Raw genomic sequence first — 22,945 nt, 5'->3', positions numbered from 1 at the left:
GAGGTATCCTTGGTAACTGTTTGAAAGATATGAGATGGTTTTTGCTCATATTTAAAATTCTGCAGCTGGATACAAAAGATAAACATCTTGTTACTTGTCTCCTAAAGAGAATGGTTAACTACTAAATCTAACATAGGACTAGCATGCCTTATGTAGACAATAACCCCTCAACAGAGTAACAGTGATGTTACTGTCATGATGGTCACATGCAAACTATGTGACAAATATGGTTTGCAAAAAAAGGAGAAATATTTATATTAGAATATTAAGAGAAAATAAGCAAGATATATGAGACCATAAGTTTGTGGAGCACAGGAATCTGTTTTCTTTTCCAATGAATGTGCTTGGTACCTGACTTGGCCCATGGTGGATTCTTGATATGTTCTGAATAAAAGGATGAATAGCTGCATATCATCGCAGCAATATAAAAGTGGACACACACAAAAATAACAACTTGTGAAAAATACTGCCTCTAAGTAGTGAGATTATAGTTATTTTTCTTACTACCTTTCTGTAATTTAAAAACTTCTATATTGAGAAAAGAGCATTTTAAATCAGAAAAGAGGCATTTTTAATATAAAAGAAAACTAAAAATATCCTTAGAAACAGTAAAATGTGTTAGGCATTTAAATTTAATACATTTTCCTGATAGATAATGCTTCTCAGTGTGTTTGCCTTAAAACTATAACTGTACATGACTGTGCAAATAGAGAAAATAATTCAAAATCTATCACTGACATCTTGCCTTAAGGAAAAATTCCTTTATGTATAAGTTACGATTTAATATCATGAGATAAATACAGGGTACATATTTATGGGCCTTGGGCCCCACAAAGACACTTGGTAAATGGTCATTGCTAATGGGAAAGAGGGTGCTGTAAAGAGAGAACTGCAACAGAGAATCATTAGGAAAAAAAATCCCTTTGAACCAACCAGATTTCATTGTAAATTTTTTGAATTTATTATTTTTATTTTTCTTGTTTCCTTTCAGTCCCTCTCCATATGTACATTTTATATAGCTCTCATCTTATCTTTGATAACTTTTGGCTTCTGCTTATTTCCAGAATTCATACAGACTTCAGGAGCACTTCAGTAGTATGACAATTTCTCATTGAAAAACCAGCCCAAGAAGTTCCTGCCCCCTGCCTCTCTCCCCGTTCTCCTCTGAAATCTGTTATTTTCTTGTTTACCAGTCATGCTCTCACTTTTTTATGGGTATCCTTTCATCCTTTCAGTATCTCAGATTCACCACATCACAGATTGCCCCAGTCAATAGGAAATGTTAGGGGAGAGAAGGGAGGCAAAGCAAGTGGATGGTGACACAACTTTCTCTGTCCTGGCACTTCCTGTCTGCCAGCCTGTTTGCCTCTTGTGTACAGCTATAATGGCCTCTTTCTGTGACCTTCTCTCAGCCAATGCTCAGAATTATATATTAACTTGGTCTAGAAATTACCTTTCCTTTTTGTGGATGCTCAATTTCCTTCATCTAATTCACTCCTGAGGACCTCTGTTGGCCCCTCTCATTGCCACCAAAGCTCACTCCACCTACGCATTCTGCCTGCTGAAGCAAATAGCAGCTCCCTGTAAAAGGGGTTCTCTAGCAATCCCTGAGCAGAAAGAGATTATTTTTAACAATATGAGTTTGGAATCCTTGAAAGACCAAAGAGTCTATATATATATATTTTATTTTTAGTTTATTTCTGTCTTTAATCTGATAACCAGCCTCCACTCCAATAACAGAATGTTACCCTAAAGGTTACTACTGTCAACTACCTTGTAAAGTCTTTCCCCATAGGTGTTCAGTAAATATGACTAACTAAAAATTAATTTCTTAAACCATAATGTATATGTCAGGTAATTGCATTTTCTAGTTTATAACACAAGGAAAATGGCAAACTTTTCTGCTCATACAAATAACTTTCCTAAAAATTGGTAATAAAATATTAATTTTAAAAATAGATGTTTCCCTCTAAAGTATGACATTCTGATATATAAATTTCTCTTTTGGCCTTGCCGTATGTGCCACTTTAGTGCAAAGTGTCATCTTTAAGACCTGACCACAGGGGGCCAGGTGCAGTATGTACAGCCAATGATCACATGTATCCAAATAGAAAAGACTTAACTTTAACCTGTTCACTAGACATGCTACAGAGCAGATACCTTGGCAATCTTATGGCACTTAAGTCCACCAGTGAATTATCCACTAACCAGAGGGTTTCAACTCGAATTAGTCTTCTAAGAATTCTGTTAAAATTTTCAACTTGGTAAGGATCCCCCAAACCCTGAAATGAAATGTTCAAATTCTGAGGAAAAACAAATAAAAGAAAAAAGTGAGGTTTTTGTCAACTTTAGTTATTCATTTAAAATGTATTGTATATATTAATTATACATACAAACACAATTATGTTGTAGCAATTTCCAAGGTAGGGAGGGTGAAGACCTTAATCAGAATTAGTGAGCAGCATACAGAGTTTGGGAGTGTTCCATGGGTGTATGGAGGAAGAAGGACCGGATTCTCAAGCAGATTCTGAGATTTTCTAGGGGTGTAGAATGGAAAGGATAAATTTCTGACTGCTTTACACGATCAGTAATCATTAGCCTCACTTGGAAATTCTCAGAAATCACATTTATAAAATTTTCAGAGTAAGATAACATCATTTGGAAGATGAAACCTATGATTTTGTTTAAAGTAACTAGAGATGCATACCTAAAAATGATTTGGTGTGCTTCAAAGATACTGAATATTTTATTTTCACTTTTAATATCAGGCAACTTTGGTGTAAAATACATTGCTACCACTCTCAGTGGTCGCATTGCTCTTGTAAACTGCATTCCTAAAAGTCAACTTAATTTTTTTATTTCCATATTTTGCCATCAATTTCTGTCAATAAAAATATTGAATAGAATGACAACCCCTTTTTTAAAAATTTGAGGCCAGATAATTTGCTGTTTTTAAGGAAATATAGACATTATCTTTAGAAAGGTTATTAACATCTTGATATTTTTAGATATTATACTTTATAAAATTTGATACTTGAAATTTTATTTTCCAAAAGCACACAAGGTCTTTATTTTAAAATAAAACTTGAGAAATGATAAAAGTTTATGTGTATCACCTATGCATTAAAATCATCTCCTCAGAAAAGTTTTTAAAAAAATGTACCACTATTTCCCAGCTAAGTTTTCTATGATAGTTTAGAGTTTATTTAGCCATTCTCTTACAGTATAGTTATTGAAAGGACAATTAATTTTTCTATGATAGTTTATTAGCAAGGCTCCATTGACCTTAAAGTATACCCAAGGTTAAAATTGCAAGTATAAAGAAGGAATGAATATAGACACCAAAATGACTACCGCTAAAGAGAGTCTGGGAATGGATGTCAAAGGCTTAGATGTATTGTTTAAATCTTTTAAATAAATAAGCAGATGTGTTGTTTATATTTGTACTAGATTGTATCCATTCATTATATATGAATAACTTAAAATTAATTTGAAAAGAAAGAGCCATACTGGGACATAGTCTTCTATTTTCTTATCTTTCCCTGAAAAATTGCATAACTTTGGGTAAGTCAGTTCTCTTCCTGGACTTCCTTTTCCTTTCTGAAACTAAGAAATTTAAACCAGACCCTATGTGAAGCTCCTTCTCATCCCCTAATTTCGTAATTCTATGGTATGTAAGTCTGTGAAGCAAAGGAGGCATCACGAGTCCTCAACAAGGAGTTTTAGGCTCTGTTTCACTTCTGGAAGACTTCTTAGACTTTTCAAGTATAATTTTATCCCTTTAAAATACAAAAATATTAGCCTCTCACTCTGTTATGAGGAAGTTGACTTATTCTTTTATTGCCAGAAACACTTGCCCCAGTTAAATCTTCAATCCTCTGCCTAAGCATGACTTGATCCAGTTGGAGTTAGGAGCTTGAGTAGTCACAGCCCCACAGCTTTGTAGTGGTCAGGTTGACTAACTGCGGGGGATGTTTCAATGCTAGTGGCTCAGTCAGCAGGGTGATTTTCAGCACCAAGAAATGAAAATCTGGCTCCCTCACTGGTGAAAAATTTGATTTATTCCAGGATAGCTTTGTTTGAGCTGGCTGCTCAAAAGTTTCATCCTGATGCATCGTTCAAAGGATTCCAGATTGCATTGTAAACTCATTGATATGGATTATTGTCCAACATTTGACATTTTTATTATTAACAACAATTTTGTTCTTCTCAAATATTTTAAACTTATTCTCAAAGTTCAGCAATATCAGCTTAAAATGAAGGTTAGAAAATATGTAACATATTATGATGAAAAGAAGGGGGAAAAAGAAACAGAGAAGCCTAAACACTGGGAGTTTTACAGAAAGCTCTGAAGAGATGCTAAAAGTTGTGTTATTTATTCCCTTTAAAAAAAAAGATGTCACAATTTAATCAATGGAAAAATAGGCTTTTTTTTTTTTTTAAATGAAAAAGGTCTCACCTTGCAGTCTTCCCAGTTTTCTTGTAGCCATGTTTCCCATTTGTTTTTTTCAAGAACTCTTTTCCTTGGGAGCAAGGCACACTCTACCTGTCTGAAAAGTTGCTCTTCTTCAGAGATTCCTAGATAAGAACCACAAGTTGAGATTTTGGAAGTATGTTTAGGGGGCAGGACTGGTATCTTCACTTGCTATTGGCCAGTTGTTTGAAACTCCCACTAGATATCACAACTTGGGGAAGCATGATTTGACCCACATAGTATGAGCAGTAATAAAATGATTTAACCCACTCCTGTCTTCCTAACCTGGTTGGGGGAAAGGTTGAAGACAGGAAAAGATCCAGGACTTCACCACATTTTTCATTTTCTAATAGTTGAAAATCATTTTTTTTTTAATTTTGCCAACTAACTTTCCTCTCATTTCTTCTAAGGAAAATTGAGCTAAACCTCTTATTTGACAACACTAAATCAGATTCACAGTTATGACAATAATAAATTAATCAAAATATGACTATTAAATATCTAAACCACTCAGTTTTCTCACTATCCTTCTGCTATAGGAGCCTGTGGCTGTGTGTGAGGGGCTTACTACCGAGCCCTCTCAAAACAAGATGAGTAATACAAAAAAGGGGAAATATGAAACAAATCAGCAACTTTATTTCTTTTTCATCTTCTTTGCTTAAAAAGCAAAGGAAAGTTTTTTTTTAAACTATATTAAGGCTATAATATAGGTTATAAGGTTATTAGGTTATTTAAATTGTTCTTTTTTTTTTTTTTTTTTTTGAGACGGAGTCTTGCTCTGTCTCCCAGGTTGGAGTGTAGTGGCGCTATCTTGGTTCACTGCAAGCTCCGCCCCCTGGGTTTACGCCATTCTCCTGTCTCAGCCTCCTGAGTAGCTGGGACTACAGGCGCCCGCCACCACGCCTGGCTAATTTTTTGTATTTTCAGTAGAGATGGGATTTCACTGTGTTAGCCAGGATGGTCTCGATCTCCTGACCTCGTGATCCACCTGCCTCGGCCTCCCAAAGTGCTGGGATTACAGGCGTGAACCACCGCGCCAGGCCTAAATTGTCCTTTTTTATACTATCCATGGTCTAAGTTACTGCAGATGACCTTTAGCTTAAAATTTCACTCATAGATTTATTTTTAATTCAGATTTAGCACATCACTATGAAAATGTGACAGTTAAAATATAAAATATCTCTATTTTTTATACCTTAAATTCTGGGCATATATTTCAAGGTTCACAGATAATTTAATTGCTTTCTAGAACTATTAAAAGGAGAAGGGAGTTACTTCTATTAATGGTAGAAAAAAAGCCAACAAGTAGAATTAACTTTTTTTTTTTTTTTTTTTAGATGGAGTTTTGCTCTGTTGCCTAGGCTGGAGTGCAGTGGCACCATCTCAGCTCACTGCAACCTCCACCTACTGGGTTCAAGCGATTCTTCTGCCTCAGCCTCCTGAGTAGCTGGGATTACAGGCATGTGCCACCACGCCCGGCTGATTTTTGTATTTTTAGTAGAGATGGGGTTTCACCGTGTTGGCCAGGCTGGTCTTAAACTCCTGACCTCAGATGATCCACCCACCTCAGCCTCCCAAAGTGCTGGGATTACAGGCTTGAGCCACCACTACTGGCCTAGAATTAACTTTTAACCATACATAAATATTTCTAGCCCAGTCAAGTGAGAACAATCACTAGTATAGTGATTTAATCTTCATATAATTTTCTCTTTGGGGATTGTGAAGTCATTCCTGATTTTCTTTCTCTTTTGTGTCTCAATTCAGTTAGTCACCTTATCCTAGCAGTTTTCCCTTTGAGAATCTGTCCCTTCATTTTCAATGTCCAGGTTCTCATGTCTTCCTACTTAAACTGTAATTATTTTCTCTTGAATCTTCTTGCCTGCAACATTCTCTCCTCCAATATAAACAACAAACGTTACCATACAACCTTCCTAAAACACAGCTTTTACCCCAGGACTCACTACTGAAAACATGTCGGAAATTTCTTCTTGCCTACAAATCCTAGCTTGTCAGATAAGGCTTTCCATAATCTTAACTCAACTTCCATTTCTGAACTCATTTCTCACTATTTTCCAACATTATCATCCTTCAAATAAGGTTTGCACACAACTTTCAGGGTTAGGGAAAGAATGTCCTGTTTGCAGTCTGAAGTTGGCTGGTAGGTAAATGTGGGACTCCAGATGACTAATTTTAATATCCTGATCTTCAGTTTTTCATGTCTGCAAAAATAGGGGGAAGACCTAAATCAAGGGCTGACCACGAACTGAATTTGGTGAGAAAACATGTTTGTTTGGCATGTATGGTGCTTTACAAAAATACTGATTTCTAGTACTTTAAGGACAATATAGGCTTTTTTTATTGCCATAGGCCCCTACACTCTCTCGTGCTTCCCTCTGATATTATGTCAACTTCACTCTGATATTATGTCAACCAGGCCCCTGAAAGCAACCCTACACTAAATTACTTCAATTCCCTACCAGCTCTATCATGGTGTATTTCTATGAGTCACATCTGGTATCATTTGCATGCACTTTCTCCACTCTGTGTTTCTGGAATGCGTGACTCCCCTCATTTCAAAGGTAAAAGAATAAAGGAAAAAGGACACTGAGGACATCAAAAGACAAACTTTGCTTTTGTGGCCTGTGGGCTTTTGTGGACTATGATAGAAAGTAGTAAGTTCATTTGTGAAGAGTTTATGGAAGGCAATAAGAGGGAGTCCAGTATTTTATTATTTCGGCACGAACATCAGTTCTTACACCGGGGGCAGGTGGAGGCCAGGGTGTAGACTTCCCTTTCAGTCATTTCTCTCATAATGAACTCTGCTGTTATCACCCAGGAAATCCTTTGACCCAGAATGAGGCAGTATCTCAACCGACTTACAAATAAAATATCCTTATGTTACGAAATGTTCTTCTTCATTGATAAGGATGCTTGGATTTAAAAATCATAGAAGTGGAAAACTGGAGCAATCACCTAATTGAGCAGGGAGACCCTCAGGCTGTATTGTCTTTCACCCACCCCCACTTCAAATTTGGCAGCTTTCTCTGTACATCAGATAACCCAGAGTTATTAAACTCTTCCCTGTATTGTTTGTTTGAGTGTTATTGATCTTCTGCTCTTTTAATTATTTCTTTTTAAAGTAGCTTTCAAAGCTTTCTTTGAAGTTGGGGGCCGAAGTTCACTTCCACTGTGAGGAGTTGAATTAAATTGGATTTTTCTTTTTTTTCTCAGACTTGGTTGGTAATTGAAGATATATCTTAGCAGCTGAACTACAGTCTGGAATATCTGACAGTTCAGGGATGTTGACTTTCACTTGCTCCCTCTCAGCCTGTTCTTTGTCCCCTCACTGGATTTGTAACACATAATAGCAGTCACTGAACTAACTTCCCGGGATATTTTTGAATGGAAAGAATCTATTCTTTAAAAGAATTCTGCCACCAGTTTACTTTTTTGCTTTATTTAATTGTGAAAATTTAAGTCAGTCTTGATCTGGCAATTGAAGCCTTAGGCAATTGCTGTTTATCACACACCAGATAACCTTTCCTGTCTTATGAGCTCTTTCTGAATGTACAATTGAGGCAATTGAGATAAACCGAAGTAGCTTTGATGGGTGTTTCCAGATCTAATCTAGAAGGAGGGTAATTCTTCTCAAAGTGCTTTTGAAAAGCATTTGTTCTCCACGTCACAAAACAAACTTAAACAAAATTAAGAGCAATGAAGGAGGGACATCTATTTCTCCCTGGTTTGAGGAGATGGGATTTTTTCAAATGTTTTCCATCCCCTAGATCACGCTCTGGTCCTTTTATGACTAGTCACTTACAAGAGATTGGGTGTTGTTAATGACCTACAGAAGGAAAATGTGCTTTTATCTCTGCAGAGCAATGATGTCCTCTGCATGAATGGCCACCATGGTCATTACATTGGATTGGTTTTGCTGAGTGATGACCTCAGCACATAACCTGGCCACTTAAGTCAGGGAGAGAAGGAGAACTTTGGACATTCTCTGCACAAGCTCATTTTCAGTTTACCCTCACATTTTATTTCCTTGTCATCTCTAGTTTCTGTAGTTCTCTCTAAACCCTGACCCAGCACTTGTGCTCAGAATACGATTTCTTTTTGCCTTATGATGGCTGCCACAATTATCAACCATCTGCCTCTGCACTCACACACTCATGCCAGCATTTTTACTTATCAGTCTATTCACTTCCTATTCAAATTTCTTTCTTCTCTCCCTTTCTTCATACCTCTTAAACCAGTGTTTCTCATAGTATGGCCTTCAAATCATCTACAACAGAATTCCCTGTGATAATTTTTTACAAATCTGGATTCTGGGCGCCATCCCTTACATCAGATTCAGTGGGCGTAGGGCCCAGGAATCTGACTTTTCACACACCTCAAGATGATTTGTTCACACACTAAAGCTTAAGGACTAAAATCCTTCCTGCTTTAGCCTGTGACGTAGCTCTCTCTTCCTTTTGCTGGAGGACTCCTGACACATGTGACACACTCAGCCACCACTTCTCTTGGTGTCCTTCCTTCCTAATTCTTCACAATTTCTCACTCTTGGGAAAAAAAAAAAAATCTTCCCAAGGTCCCGAAAGGACAACTCTGATTTATCCCTAGTAGTACTATCTACTCACATTTTAAAAATAGGAGTCAGTGCTTGGCTGCAAATAGAGCTGACAAAGTTGAAGCATAAGAACATATTTTACTCAAAGTATAAGAAAATTACGCTATTTTAGTTCCCCTTCTTTTGCCAACTGAGTTTGAGTGAAAGAAGACAAGCATCATGTGGGGATCCACTGAGAGGGAAAATGAGCAGATGAATAGACCTAAAGCCACTTTTCCTAAATCAACAGTAAAATTGTGCAATATACAATATTACTGCAAATCTGCTAATATAGATGGAAGATAGCGAAGATTTGATGTTTCCTGGAGACTAAACACTCACTGAAGCAGGAATTATGTCTAATATTATTTCATTGGCTTTTGTGGATGCAAAAAAAGACATGAGAAATGCATGGCCTCTGTTCTTACAGAATTTATAATCTATTGAAAGTTGCTTATTGAAATCAAACATTATGTATATCAAGGACTGCAGATGGCGGTTATTCAGATTGTTATACTATTACCCTTGTAAAACCTGATAGAATAAAATAATAATAGCAAAACATAGTTATTCCAGCAAATTTAAAGTGCTGTGTGAAAATGTTAAATGAGACTACCTGGTTTATTTAGTGTGATGGTTAATTTTAGATATCAACTTGACTGAATTAAGGGATACCCAGACAACAGGTGAAACATTACTCCTGGATATGTCTGTGTATTAGTCAGGGTTCTCCTGAGAAACAGAACCAATATGAGATAGATAGATAGATAGATAGATAGATAGATAGATAGATAGATAGATAGATAAAAGGGGGGTCATTATGGGAATTGGCTCACATAATGATAGAGGCTGAGATGTCCCACCATATGCTATCTGCAAGCTGGAGAACCCATGAAGCCAGTGGTGTAACTCAGTCTGAGTCTGAAGGTCTAAGAACCGGGAGAGCTGATGGTGTCACTCAGTCTGAGGATGAAGACCTGAGAACACCTGAGAATCTGGCGGCCTGCTGATATAAGTCCTAGAGTCCAAAAGCCAGAGATCTTCGAATTCTTATGTCCAAGGGCAGGAGAAGATTAGTGTCCCACCTCCAAAAGAGAAAGCAAATTCATTGTTTCTCTGCATTTTTGTTCCCCCTAGGTCCTCAACCACTTAGATAGTGCCCACCCACACTGGGTGAGGCAGATCTTCCTTACTCAATCCACTGATTCAAATGCCAATCTCTTCCAGAAATGCCCTTACAGACTTTCCCAGAAATAATGCTTTACCAGTTTATCTAGTTATTCTTAAATGCAATCAATTTAACACCTAAAATTATCCATCACAGCCTGTGAGGGCATTTCTGGAAGAGATGAGCATTTGAATCAGCAGGCTGAGCAATGATTTGCCCTCACCAATGTGGGCAGGCATCATGCAACCCATTGAGGCCCCTGATAACCCTGATGGAGTGACACTATCATCTCTCCTGATTTTCAGATCTTCAGACACAGACCAAATTTTACCACTGGCCTCCCTGTTTCTCCAGCTTACAGACGGCATATTGTAGGACTTCTCAGTCTCTATAATCATGTGATTCCTATAATAAGTCTCATCTCTCTATCTATCTATCATCTATCTCTTTAGATATATATATATCTCTCTCGATGTATAGATTTATATATATAGAGAGATGTATATGTTGAGAGAGAGAGAGGTGTATTTTATTGGTTCCATTTCTCTGGAGAACACTGATGAACACATTTAGATTCTATTTTGATGTTGTTGGAAAAAAACAATATAGAATTAAGTCAATGTAAAGTCATCAGTTGAAATGACAGTGTTATTTGTTATCATAAAAAATAGTAAATAAATTTCCAACAACGATTATTGGTTACATATATTTAATATATTTAATGATATTAATATGATGGAAAAGTATGCAAGCTTTAAAAAGTATGTTTTGGGTAATGTTTAATGGCATGGAAGAAATGCTGACAATATCATTCTGTTAAGTGAAAAAACTTAAGAAATAAAAATTACATATATGTATGTGTGTGTAAGAAGTAAATGGAAATAAAAGTCACGGTGGTTAATCTGGACAGTCAGTTACAGGTTCTTCTTTATCTTTCAATATTTTCCAATATTTATTACTGAATGTTAGTTATTTATATAATCAGTTATAAGAATATACCTTCAAAGGTGGCTTCACTTATCAACAATTCTATGGTCTTGAAAAAGGAAAATTTTACCTCCAAATGGTGTCTTTTTTTTTTCTTCAAGTAATGTCTTTTAATCCACAAAAAATTCTATTCAGAGGATGTACACGAAAAAGGCACACATTTATTCTTTTACCTTCTCTTACTCTTGGGCAACGCAGTTGACTTCCTTGAACGTCATGTCTACCTTGTGCCAAGTGAGGTACTTACAAGAATCTGATGGAAGCTTTAAAACAAGAGAGAAGAGAAACACTATATCATCTGGCAATATGTAGTTCTTTTGCTTCCGTGTGTAAAAGTAATGCAAATCCATGCCAAACACTTAGCCAAATTGAACTCCAAATATCTAATGGTGTGCTCATGGAAATCATCTTATCCAATCTAAATTATGTGTTCTTATTCAATTTTGCATCCCCAACACCTGCAGCTGTTTTACATTTGATGGTAAATGACAGCATGAATAAATATATGTACCCATTCATGATCCCCTTTAGACCAATTTATATAAATCATCCTTTAATATTTTTTAATATCTCACGAGCAGTCTCATTCCATTTATAACAGTTCTAATTGTTAAAATGTCTTCATTACATGGACCCTGCTTATTACATAATCCCTCTAACTTGCTCCAATTGTACAAGTTCTATTTTTTCAAGGCTGCACAGAGAATCCTTCCACGTATGCTTACTGTTTTAAATGTTTAATTATAGTTGTCATTCTCTTCCTAAGTCATTCAATTATTACTCATAGATAATGGTCTATAAATTAGTAAATATTTTGGTGGTTATTCTTGGAAAGAGTTTCAACTTACTGACATTGCTCTGAAAATGTGTAGATCAAACTGAATGAAATATTTCAGGTAAAGCTATCTTTTTCTGGACAGTATATTACTGACTAGAACATGTACCAAGATCACATTTGGGGCAATTTTAATTGTTTACTAACACTGAGGTTGTAGTCAATCAAAGTTCCAGTGTTTTATATAACTTGTTATTATTTCAAGGTTAACACAAACAAAAGGCACATTACTTGAAAAGAATATTATATTAAATATTTACACCATAGATTCATTCTTCTGTTAGCCAAAGTTAAACATGTGTACAAACAAACTCAGAATATTTAGTTTAAAAAATGTTAAGTATTTGGAACAAATACTCTGTTCTTTAGAGCAGAATTTGGCAAGTGCTGCCCCAAAATAAGTTGAGAAGAGCTGGCTTTTTAATAATAATTTAACTTTGATATTTTAGCTGCATTACTTACTCACTGAATGACCTTGGCCTTGCTCCAATAAATATCCCAATATCTTCATTTAAAAAATAGAACTAGTAACAAAAGCTGTCTACCTTGTTATCAGTAACACTAAAAAGTTAACTTATGCTTGAGCAATTCTTGGAGATATTCTGAGGATTTGTTAATGTGCTTTCAAGAAATGAAATCATCCTTTTGTACTATTCTTTTAGGAAAACAATAAACACAAAACATTTTAGATTACTAAGGAATATAGCCTACAACCTACTCTTGGCTGTTTGGTTTATATAATTATGGAAGCCTCTTTCCCAACACCTTATGTGAGTTTGGAATTTTTCTTTTCTTGCTTCTATTATAGAATAAAAATGTCTTGGAAGTTAAGTTACCTAGGACTGCCACACCCACTGCCTCTGTGTTATTTTATGAGGCTTGTGCTGGGAAAAGAAAAATTGTTCTAAGCTAAAGCTGTATTTGAGAGGAAAGTTTTCATTTTTCACCAGACATCTACTTTTGTACAAAAACCCGTTTATTTTTTAAGGAGCTAAGTGGTTGATTTTGGAACTTCTGACATTGTAGGAAAATGAGCTGCTGCATGTTTTTATGTATTTCTGTGTAAGGTTGTCAGAGTGGTGCAGCTGTGTGACAGTTGTTTCTTCCTAAAGGAAGAGCGAATATTTGTGTCTTGCCATGTAATTTTTCCTTTTTTTAATTCTGATGGGCCAATTGATTAATATATTGTTCAATAAACATTTTTTGATGCTAGCATGCTTCATCGCATTTTATTCAAAAATATATATTTTACCACATTATATGTCAGGCATTCTGTTAAACACTGGGGATAGAAAGTTGAATAAAACATGATAATTGTGCTTGAAAAACTAATTTTCTGTAATTTGGCAGGTAGACATTTGAATAACTCACCTTAAGCCAGAGGGATGGCTAGAATAATTATGTATGAAGGGAAGGGGGAAAAGGCGTGTATGATTCCAGTTAGATAGCTTAGAGAGAATGTCTTAGAAGTGGTGAGTTCAGGAAAAAAGAAAAATGTATCTTGCAGACAAAGGAAATTCCAGAAAGAAAGGAAAGGAAATCGCAGAATAGAGACAGAATTTGCACTCAGCAGGAGAAAGGAAGGAGTGCCATTTTGGCTTTAATGGTCATTATCTTTTCTACTCATCTTCTCCTCCTTTTTGATCTTCCTTCCTCCAATCCAACTTCTTTCTTTTTTACTCTTTGAATTGGAACTGAGAGTGTCAACTTTTCATTTCTCCTCTCACAATTACAAGGGTAGGGATAAACAGCTAATATACTTATTTTGAAACGTTGAATATCAAATAAAATATGTTCTATAAAATTATCATCAGGTAAAGAGTTAATTAAAAATATTTACCAAGGATGATATTCCAGAATCCAAACGTGGGTGGAATGTTCTTCTCCTTGATGGAGCTGACCCAGTGTGGGTCTCACTTGGATCAGAGTAGTATGATGAATTAGATGGACAAATCTCTTGACTACTTGTGTTTTGACCTGAGGAGCTGAGTAAAAGAAAACACTTAAAGTGTTCATATATGTGTTTTACAGCTTTTTAATGTAAATATCCTTGTTTAAAACGACAACAGACTGGGCACAGTGGCTCACATCTGTAATCCCAGCACTTTGGGAGGCCGAGGCCGGGGGATCACTGGAGGTCAGAAGTTCGACACCAGCCTGGCCAACATGGTGAAACCCCATCTCTACTAAAAGCATAAAAATGTGCTGGGTGTGGTGGTGTGTGTGCCTGTAATCACAGCTACTTGGGAGGCTGAGGCAGGAGAATCTCTTGAACCCGAAAGGCGGAGGTTGCAGTGAGCTGAGATAATGCCACTGCACTCCAGCCTGGGCAACAGAGACTCAGTCTAAAAGAAAAAAAAAAAAACACCAAAAAAAAACACAACCAACAACAAATTATAAGCATAAAGTTTTCCCCTAAAAGAAAGATAATACCGTAGATTTTAGAAGGATTTTTACCTCTTTTCATAGTTCTAAGCAAATTTTTATGGCTAATGGTCTCTTAAGACAAATTCTCCTCAAAGGTAAGGGTGGCTGCATAGACTGTGTGTCTTTGAAAAAGGCATCTAATAGTATACATGAAAACACACACACACACACGCTTATAAGATACCAAGGAGTACAGCCCTTATGTTGATGTTGGAACATCATTCCTAGTAGAGCTACAGCTGCAGATCTGGCACTTATAGCCATCCTTAAAATCTCTGCATGATTCTGGAACTTAAATTTTCCCGATATTTTCCCCAAGCCTATTATATTTCCTTAGATTAGTGGCAAATGACTTAAAAAGTCAGATTCTTTAATCAATTTTACTCACTTTGGAATGCCACTCAACCCTTTCATATAACAACAGTCCAATTCTCCTTGTATTCCTATATTTACACCACTGAGATGTAAAATATATTTTATACTAATTCTCTGGTTTATTATTCATTGTTATTCTTACACTTTTCCCTTTCTCCTTAGAAATAGTGATAAGTTTCTTTTTCTGTAATTGATGCTGTACGTTATGTTAAGCCAATAATTTTAAAATATTTTAATCTAAATTTTTTTTGTGTGTGAAGTAAAACTAGAAATGACATCTTTCTATAGTTACGGTCTCTTTTTTTCTCTTGGTAGATTATTTTTCAGTCGCCAAGAATCTTAAGAGAAAGTATTCTATATTTTTAGCACATTTATTATGACTCTAATAGCAATTTCACTGATAGGAAACTACACACTTCTTGTTTATTAAGGTTGCCTTCATGAAGTACAATGTAGAAACATCTTTCATTTTTCACTTATTAACTGAGCTAGTACAGTAGAAGAGCACAACGATTATATTCTAAAATAGCATCGTTCTTTAAAAAGTTTCATATTCTAAAATATCATTACTGTGCCATTAATTTTTTTAAAAAATGACCTATGATCAAGAAGAAAATTATTTCTCTGTCTGCCGCTAAATTCAAAAGTCAAGAATTTGGTCTTAATTATGTAAAAAAATCAAAACATATATGCTTCTCATTTCTGTCTCATTTGAGCAATTCTTTAACGGTTTGGATATTATTTCTTGAAATTATCAAAAAGCATCGTGTCATAAAAACAAATTAACAAACATTAGAGAAACAAACTCAAAATTTCTGAATTTTATTATTCCTAAAGCAGATAAATCCTGCCATCTAAACCTGGAGTTTTAGCCAGTAATTATGAGAAAAAATTGAGGGGAAAGAGAATATTATATCAGAGGATTAACAGGAGTGAAAGTTTAACTGACTTTTGGGTTCATTTGTCTTTACTAAAATATGCTAGCCATTTTATGCCAGAATAAAATAAGAAAAATAAGGACAATGAATATGGATAAATCTTTCTTCAGTGACTTGTGTCTTGTGATTACAAACTCCAACGATGGTTACACAATGAGGGGTTGGGTTAATAGAATAACTTGGAAGTCTCCCTCTAAAGTATGAGACATGGTTTTATCTTGCTTATATAATCTCCTTAAAGTAGGACACAAGGAAAATAAAGTTCACATAATTACAAGATCTGATAAGAAAGATCCAGTTGATTGGGTTTTTATTGTACCTTCTTGTGTAGTTTTGCAAGACTAAGCCTAACAACCTCAAGGTAAAATTAAGTTTTAAAGTAGAAGTGAAAATTATCTCATCATCTTAGTTTACATTAGATTTCTTTCTGGTTTAAACTAGAACTCTTTATGGCATTATCCCAGTAATGACCAGGCATTTATTAATAATAGAAGGTAATTAAAACTTTAGTAATACAAGTAAGTAGGCAGCTAACACCCTTACCATCTTTCTCTCTCTGTCTCTTCCTCTCCTTCCTCCCCTCTCTCCCTCTCTCTCTTTCTTCTCTCTCTCTCTCTCAATGCATTTCATTTTTTTCAGAATGGACAGAAAAATGAATTGAAGAATGGTTGTGTTTCAGCTAAGAAAATTCCAATCAATAGACGACTAGTCGGATTGTCTTTGAGTGTGAAATCTGCTTGTGGGCCCCAAAGTCTGGATCCTTTTCTCACATTCTTGTATTACTCCAGACACCACACCAGGGTACAGTGATAAAGGGCAGTGTGCTGGGAGGAGCTTGTGTTAAAAACCTCTGGGACATTCTCAGAATCTTAGTTCTGTCACTTCTGTTATAAATTCCATATGGGATTTTTCTTCAGTCTGCTCCTTTGGAGAAATCTCAGCAAAACAAGATCATTTCTGATCATTTAGTTTTAAAAATAAAACAAAACATAGGGTACCCTCCAGGTTAGGTTATATAACTCACTCAAACTTCTCCATCTACAACTGCCTTAATGTGCACATCATTGAAGTCAAAATGGCAAGAACTGCAAGTCCTAGGAGTTTGAAAACCAGTGACTACTATGACCCTCGTCAAGGCATTTAGCATAATCTCTGCTCCTCAGTTCTGTATCTTTAATATTCAGATGATAATGTGGACTGTGCCTCAGGGATAAGGTGTTTTGTTTTGTAATATTACTGCTATAATGACAAGTGCTGCTATTACTAAAATTATACTTTTACAGTTTACATTTATTGACATTTGCTATGTGGTAGGCATTATACTAAGAGATTTACATGAATTAACACATTTAATCATTCCAATCACCTAGTGAAATGAATAACATTATTTCAACTTTAAAGATGAGGAAATTTAGGCACAGAGAGAGAGGGTAACTTGCTCAAGTTACATTAGTAAATGACCAGTGATCTTAACTGCTAGAATTCATACAAGATGCAGATAAACTACTGTCATTTCTTAAATTACTGAAGAGATCTATCACCATTAGGGTGCAGTTGTTATTAAGAAAAATCATTAATATTGATTTTTCTTATTTTAATTACTTCACTTAAACACATATAATTGTACTAGTTAATAGAACATGTAAATTCAAGCAGTTATTATTTATTGAAAACAAAAGTTAAGCCTTCAGTAGTAGAACCTATGAGAACGCCATTCCAGATAACATCAAACTTTTTTTTTAAATGCTCCCATCTCCCCTTCCCAAAAGAAAATAAAACCAGACAAATGCAGTTTAGTTGGTATATTGGTTTACTTATTTTTAATCTTTCTGCCTGCAGTGAACAAAGTTATCATAAATTACAAATCTAAACCTTTATGAAAGAGGAATTAATTTTATTAATGTTCCAATATAAAGCTGCCATGGAGAAGGTACCATGGCTAAAACTGTACAGCATTTGTCAACCATGATTTATAGTGTCTTTAAAATAGCTGGCGTTATCTGAATTGGCCATCTAGTCTTGGTTGAAAAAAGGTGTAGAATGGATAACAAAAAGGATCAGGTGAGCTGAGACTGCTGGATGAACAACAATAATATAATGTATCAATTCGTGAGCCCTTTCAGCAGAAGATTGCAATGTTCTTTACAATCACAACTTTATAAGCCTCATACATTGTCTGCAGCAACGGTTACTATCTGTTTGATTAAAATGTCAAGTTGGTGATTATGTAACTTTGTAAGGCGAGTGAAGGAGGAAGTGACAGATGGCCCACTTTCTAAGGTGAAGTTGAGCTCTTAGGTTGCATAAAGATATGTTGAGCACACATCATACACAGGCCATGGCTCCTTTAAGACATGTAGGGTTGTCAAAATAGTATAGCATGTGACTCAGTTTCTAAATGTTCCATTTATATTCATTGCTTCAACATGAGGGCTTTGTATTTAGAAGGAAGGAAAGCATGTTCAACTTTATTTTTCAGTTAGCAAAGGGCACTCTTTCCAATCTCTCAGCCTCCTTCTCCTTCTAAAAAAATATTGAGCTGGAGTCTCAAATTCAGTGGGATCTCACCAAAGCCAGGTACTTCTGAGGCATGGGCTAGAATAGAATTACTATGAACTCTATAGCATTAAATTTGAATGAAAGGAAATGTGAATTCAGCCTCTTTGATTTCTCAGACCATTTTTTAAAATATTTAAAACCCAGAATTTCTGTCCTCTCTATGCTTGTGTTTTGTTTGTAAAATGGGTCATGATTGTACTCTTTACATGCCAGACATGGTAATGAGAAAATTGAAAGAATTCTCAATGGAGTTATCATAAAGTCAGGAAGATATTTGATATTATAAGTTGTCAATTTCTACACTGGCAAATTTGCTAGATTTTTTAATTTGAAGATTATTACTATATACTGATAGCTTTAAATTAAGTTGCTGGAAGTAAACATGTAAATTGAGTAAATAATTATTTATCAGTGAACTATTCTGAAAAGCTAGGTGTTTTAGAGATATTCCAAAAATATTTCACTTATCCCAAAGCCTAGAATTTCAACGGATGTGTCCTAAATGATTTAGATTGTTGATTCTAAAAGCATACAATAATAAATTTCAATTTTGAAAAATTCACAATTGCAATTGCTTTTTCTCTACCTCAGTCTGAATGAGTCAGATTTTATGTGACCCAATTTTTATTCTCATAAATTTTGCAGGTCTCTATTATTTTAGCCCCATAAATATTCTTATAAACATTTATAGGCCACCAAACTAAGGTACAACAAAAGTAAAAGAACAAACACCTATAATACTTCTCTAGAGGTAAAACTTGTAAACTTCAGTAGCTACTAGTGGGTTCACTGACATTTATAGAAGCAAAAGATATATTCAAATAACAGAACCAATGAAGATAGGCTGAACTATCTCTATGTTCCCTCTATGAAATTATATTTAGAAACTTTTAGAGCTATATTGTAACAACATTTATAGCTGCAGCTTAGGTGGTTTTCAATACTTGATGAATATCTACTATTCCCTATGTTGTTACAGCTTTGCAAATTTAACCACATACAGCACTATGAGCTAGAAGAATATAGATACTAAAAGAAAATATGTGATTGAGGTAGATCTTGCTAGCAGAAATAAAACTATAAAATGCCAAATGAAATGACAGTGTTTTAGGAAGGTGGGATGAATAAGATTCTTGTTTCATGATTTGCAGAAATGTGATTGAAGAAATACTGTCATCAAAGAAACTTTTCTTTTCTCCTTCCCGCCTTCCGTCCCTCCCTCCCTCCCTTCCTTCCTTCCTTCATTCCTCCCTCCCTTCCTTCCTGCCTCCCTCCCCTCCCTCTCTCCTTCCCTCCTTCCTTCCTTCCTTCTTCCCCTCCCCTCCCTCCTCCCCTCCCCCCTCCCCTCCCTCCTCCCCTCCCCCCTCCCCTCCCTCCTCTCCTCCCCTCCTGTCCCCTCCTTCCTCCCTCCCTCCCTCCCTCCTTCCTTCCTTCCTTCCTTCCTTCCTTCCTTCCTTCCTTCCTTCCTTCTTTTGCCTTTCACAATTTGAAGATTAAAGTTTAAGTTGTATCCTGGGTGTAGGCTGGGTGTGGTGGCTCGCCCCTGTAATCCCAGCACTTTGGGAGGCTGAGGTGGGTGGATTGTCTGAACTCACGAGGTCAAGAACTGCCTGACAACATGGTGAAACCCCGTCTCTACTAAAAATACAAAAATTATCCAGGTGCAGTGGTGCAGGCCTGTTGTCCAAGTTACTCAGGAGGCTGAGGCATGAGAATCTCTTGAACCTGGGAGACAGAGGTTGCAGTGAGCCGAGATTGCACCACTGCACTCCAGCCTGGGCGATAGAGTGAGACTGTGTATCCAAAAATAAAAAATAAAATTAAATAAATAAATAAAAATAAGTTGTATCCTGGGTATCACTCTTTTAGGCTGTCTCTAAAATCATTTTATAAAGATTTACTAGTTGAAAAATAACAATGCTGATAGTAAAGATCATTTTATATTGAACAAATAAACCTTTTGTTATAGTGTACTAAAAGAGTTTTATTAAGTAGAGAAAAAATGAAGTTTACAATTCTGCACGGAACTACTACCCATTTTAAACTATTGTTTTGTATGCTAATTTCTCGAAATTAATACACATTTAATTTTCAATGTTAAAATCAAGTATCTTGACACTGTTTGAGATATACAGAATTGGCTAAACAATAGAATTTCTATCACTCCTTTGATATTCTAATCCCTTACCTAAACACAATTCATATCTTAATTATAGGTAGTAAATGGAAGCTATAAATAAGTTTTGTACACTTTTATGAAACCACGATGTACTTAGTCTTGAAAATTGAAGATGCAAATATCAGTTTTTAAAAAGTGAGAGCCAGGTTATATACTAATATAAAATATAAAAACAAAAAAAATTTTCAAGAAGCATGCAAATCTCCAACTGTATATTGTTTAATTATCAGCATGTTTGAGAAACACTTACGAGACAGCTGTGAAATTTAGGAGTGAGGAAACAAACATTGGGTTTGGGCCTCTATTTAATCTAATTTGTGGCTTTAATGAGCTGGTATAAGTCATGTTTTTATGATAGTAATTTCTTTTAAACTGAAACACTAATAGATATTGCCTTTCAGCTATCTTGCCTATTTTTTTCATGAAAATCACAAATGCTTTCTTGAAGAGTCCTGTGTCTCTTAGACATACCATTACTAAAGGAGTAAGCCCACCTCTCTCCATCACAACAATGATCACAGAAACTGCATTGCATTTGTAACCAGGTATTAGGGGAGACGGTGGCAGTTGAGTTTGCTTCTCTCTTAAGGCAACCATAATCAGTAATGTAGGCTGCATGACTTTATGTCTCTAAAGGAAATTTAATCTGGTAACACTATCTACGTTTGTTTGGCTTTTTTCTCTAGCTCAACTAATGATGAAGTTTACTTTTAATTTAATTTTCTTACCTTTCAGACATGTCTTGCAGGTGCAAAAAGTCCTCTTGCCTTCATAAAGCTATTTTTCTGAAGACATTTTTCATCATTTTCCCTGGAGGGGATATGAGAGCTGTCCACTAAGAATCTGCAGCCTCTTTTGGGGGTCTTCCACGGATTCACTGTGACCAAGGAAACAAGCTGTTACCTAGCAACACGGCCCTTCAGGAGGTATTGTTACCAATCTCTTAGAGCTCATCAAAGGAATTCCTGTGCTCCTGGAGCAGCTTTAACAGGGATCATTGTTTCTAGGGAGTTGTCTAAACTGTGATATAACTGAACCTCAACTACAGAAACATAAATGTTAGCAGAGGGGATAAATGTCCATAGCATCCCTGGAAGGTTCGCTGTCTTCGGGTTCCATTATTTTTTGAATTGTTTGCACTGGCTTGGGTTTCTTGAAGTTATACTTGTGCAATATATCCCCCAGTATTTGGTTTCTTGCTTCTCTTCTGTAGAAAAAGAAGCAAAATGGAAGATATCCAATTCTTGCTTGAAGTTTGCTCAAATAAAACTCCTGTGATTTGAAGACTGGGAATTCTGCCTTGTTCATAACAAGAAATAAATAATAGATATTTATTTCAAAGCAAATTTTTTACAACTTTTCAGGAAAAAAAGGAGTATATGTGTACTTACTTATTGATCCAACTATCCTGCTCTGAGTGTCTGCTGTGTACATAGATAGCACTGTGAATTTTTAACTTCATGAGCTGATAAAACGAATGTCCTCTAAACTTGAAAGTTGTATGTCTCCTTTCCCAAAAATAGAAGAATGTAGCTGTGTTTTTGTGTACTAAGAAATTGCTGTCTGCCAAAATCATAGTAAACTCTCCCATAGTCTTTACTGCTTCAGAGACTGGTCTCAAACTCCTGACCTCATGTAATCCACCTGCCTCGGCCTCTCAAAGTGCTGGGATTATAGGTGTGAGCCACCATGCCTGGCCTAAGTTAGTATAATTTTTAAAAATTTTCAAATGCCTAAAATATTACATCTAAACTTTCTGGATACTTTTCCCGTGATAGGGACAGAGATGACAAATGTTAGACATTTTCCTTTCTTTTCTTCTCTCTCTCTCTCTCTCTCTCGTGTGTGTGTGTGTGTGTGTGTATGCCTATAAACTACAGAACCAATGTCATACATTTTCTTTACTCTTATCTTTTTTAAGCATCCTGGGAACTTTCCCAAGTCCAAAAATTCTAGGCCAAGATTATCCAAAAATGAATAAAACACAACTAAACTTACCTTTTTAGCTTTATAACTCACAACAATTGATCCAGACTCCTAACTGCTTTGGGCAAAAGCTATGTAATACTCCAGCGACTCAACTCTGACTTTGCTTAGAATTATCTTGGGTGCTTTTAAAAAAATCCAGTGTCCAGGCCCTTCCTCAACTAAACAAATAATATCTGAAAGTGGGTGGGGCCCAGGCATTCATATTTTAAAATGTTCCTATTATACACTCTCAACTCCTCACTTACCTGTACCTACTTCTGTGAAGCAAAATGTGGTTCAAGAAAAACACACCATTAGGCCGGGCACGGTGGCTTATGCCTGTAATCCTAGTACTTCGGGAGGCCGAGGCGGGTGCATCACTTGAGGTCAGGAGATCGAGACGATCCTGGCCAACATGGTGAAACC

At 35.9% G+C, this 22,945-nt stretch overlaps 1 pseudogene across 2 annotated transcripts in view; it reads right to left on the bottom strand.

The window, feature by feature from the left end:
* LRRC77P (leucine rich repeat containing 77, pseudogene) overlaps positions 1-21,416 on the bottom strand; it is a 28,064-nt pseudogene extending 6,648 nt beyond the window's left edge. Inside the window, exons 1-5 of one of the 2 annotated variants that reach the window (NR_033843.2) lie at positions 21,280-21,416; positions 13,914-14,058; positions 11,309-11,501; positions 4,460-4,578; positions 2,161-2,303 (exon numbers count right to left, since the gene is read on the bottom strand). The product of NR_033843.2 is annotated as a leucine rich repeat containing 77, pseudogene, transcript variant 1 (transcript). The remainder of the gene's footprint in view (positions 1-2,160; positions 2,304-4,459; positions 4,579-11,308; positions 11,502-13,913; positions 14,059-21,279) is intronic. The other variant, NR_145443.1, reaches the window with a different exon arrangement.
* Positions 21,417-22,945: the final 1,529 nt, after the last annotated feature.

Source organism: Homo sapiens, chromosome 3, assembly GCF_000001405.40.
Source record: "Homo sapiens chromosome 3, GRCh38.p14 Primary Assembly".
In the NCBI taxonomy this organism is placed as follows: domain Eukaryota; kingdom Metazoa; phylum Chordata; class Mammalia; order Primates; family Hominidae; genus Homo; species Homo sapiens.
Note: the sequence above shows the minus strand (reverse complement) of the source record. Positions and strands in the feature narration are given on the sequence as shown.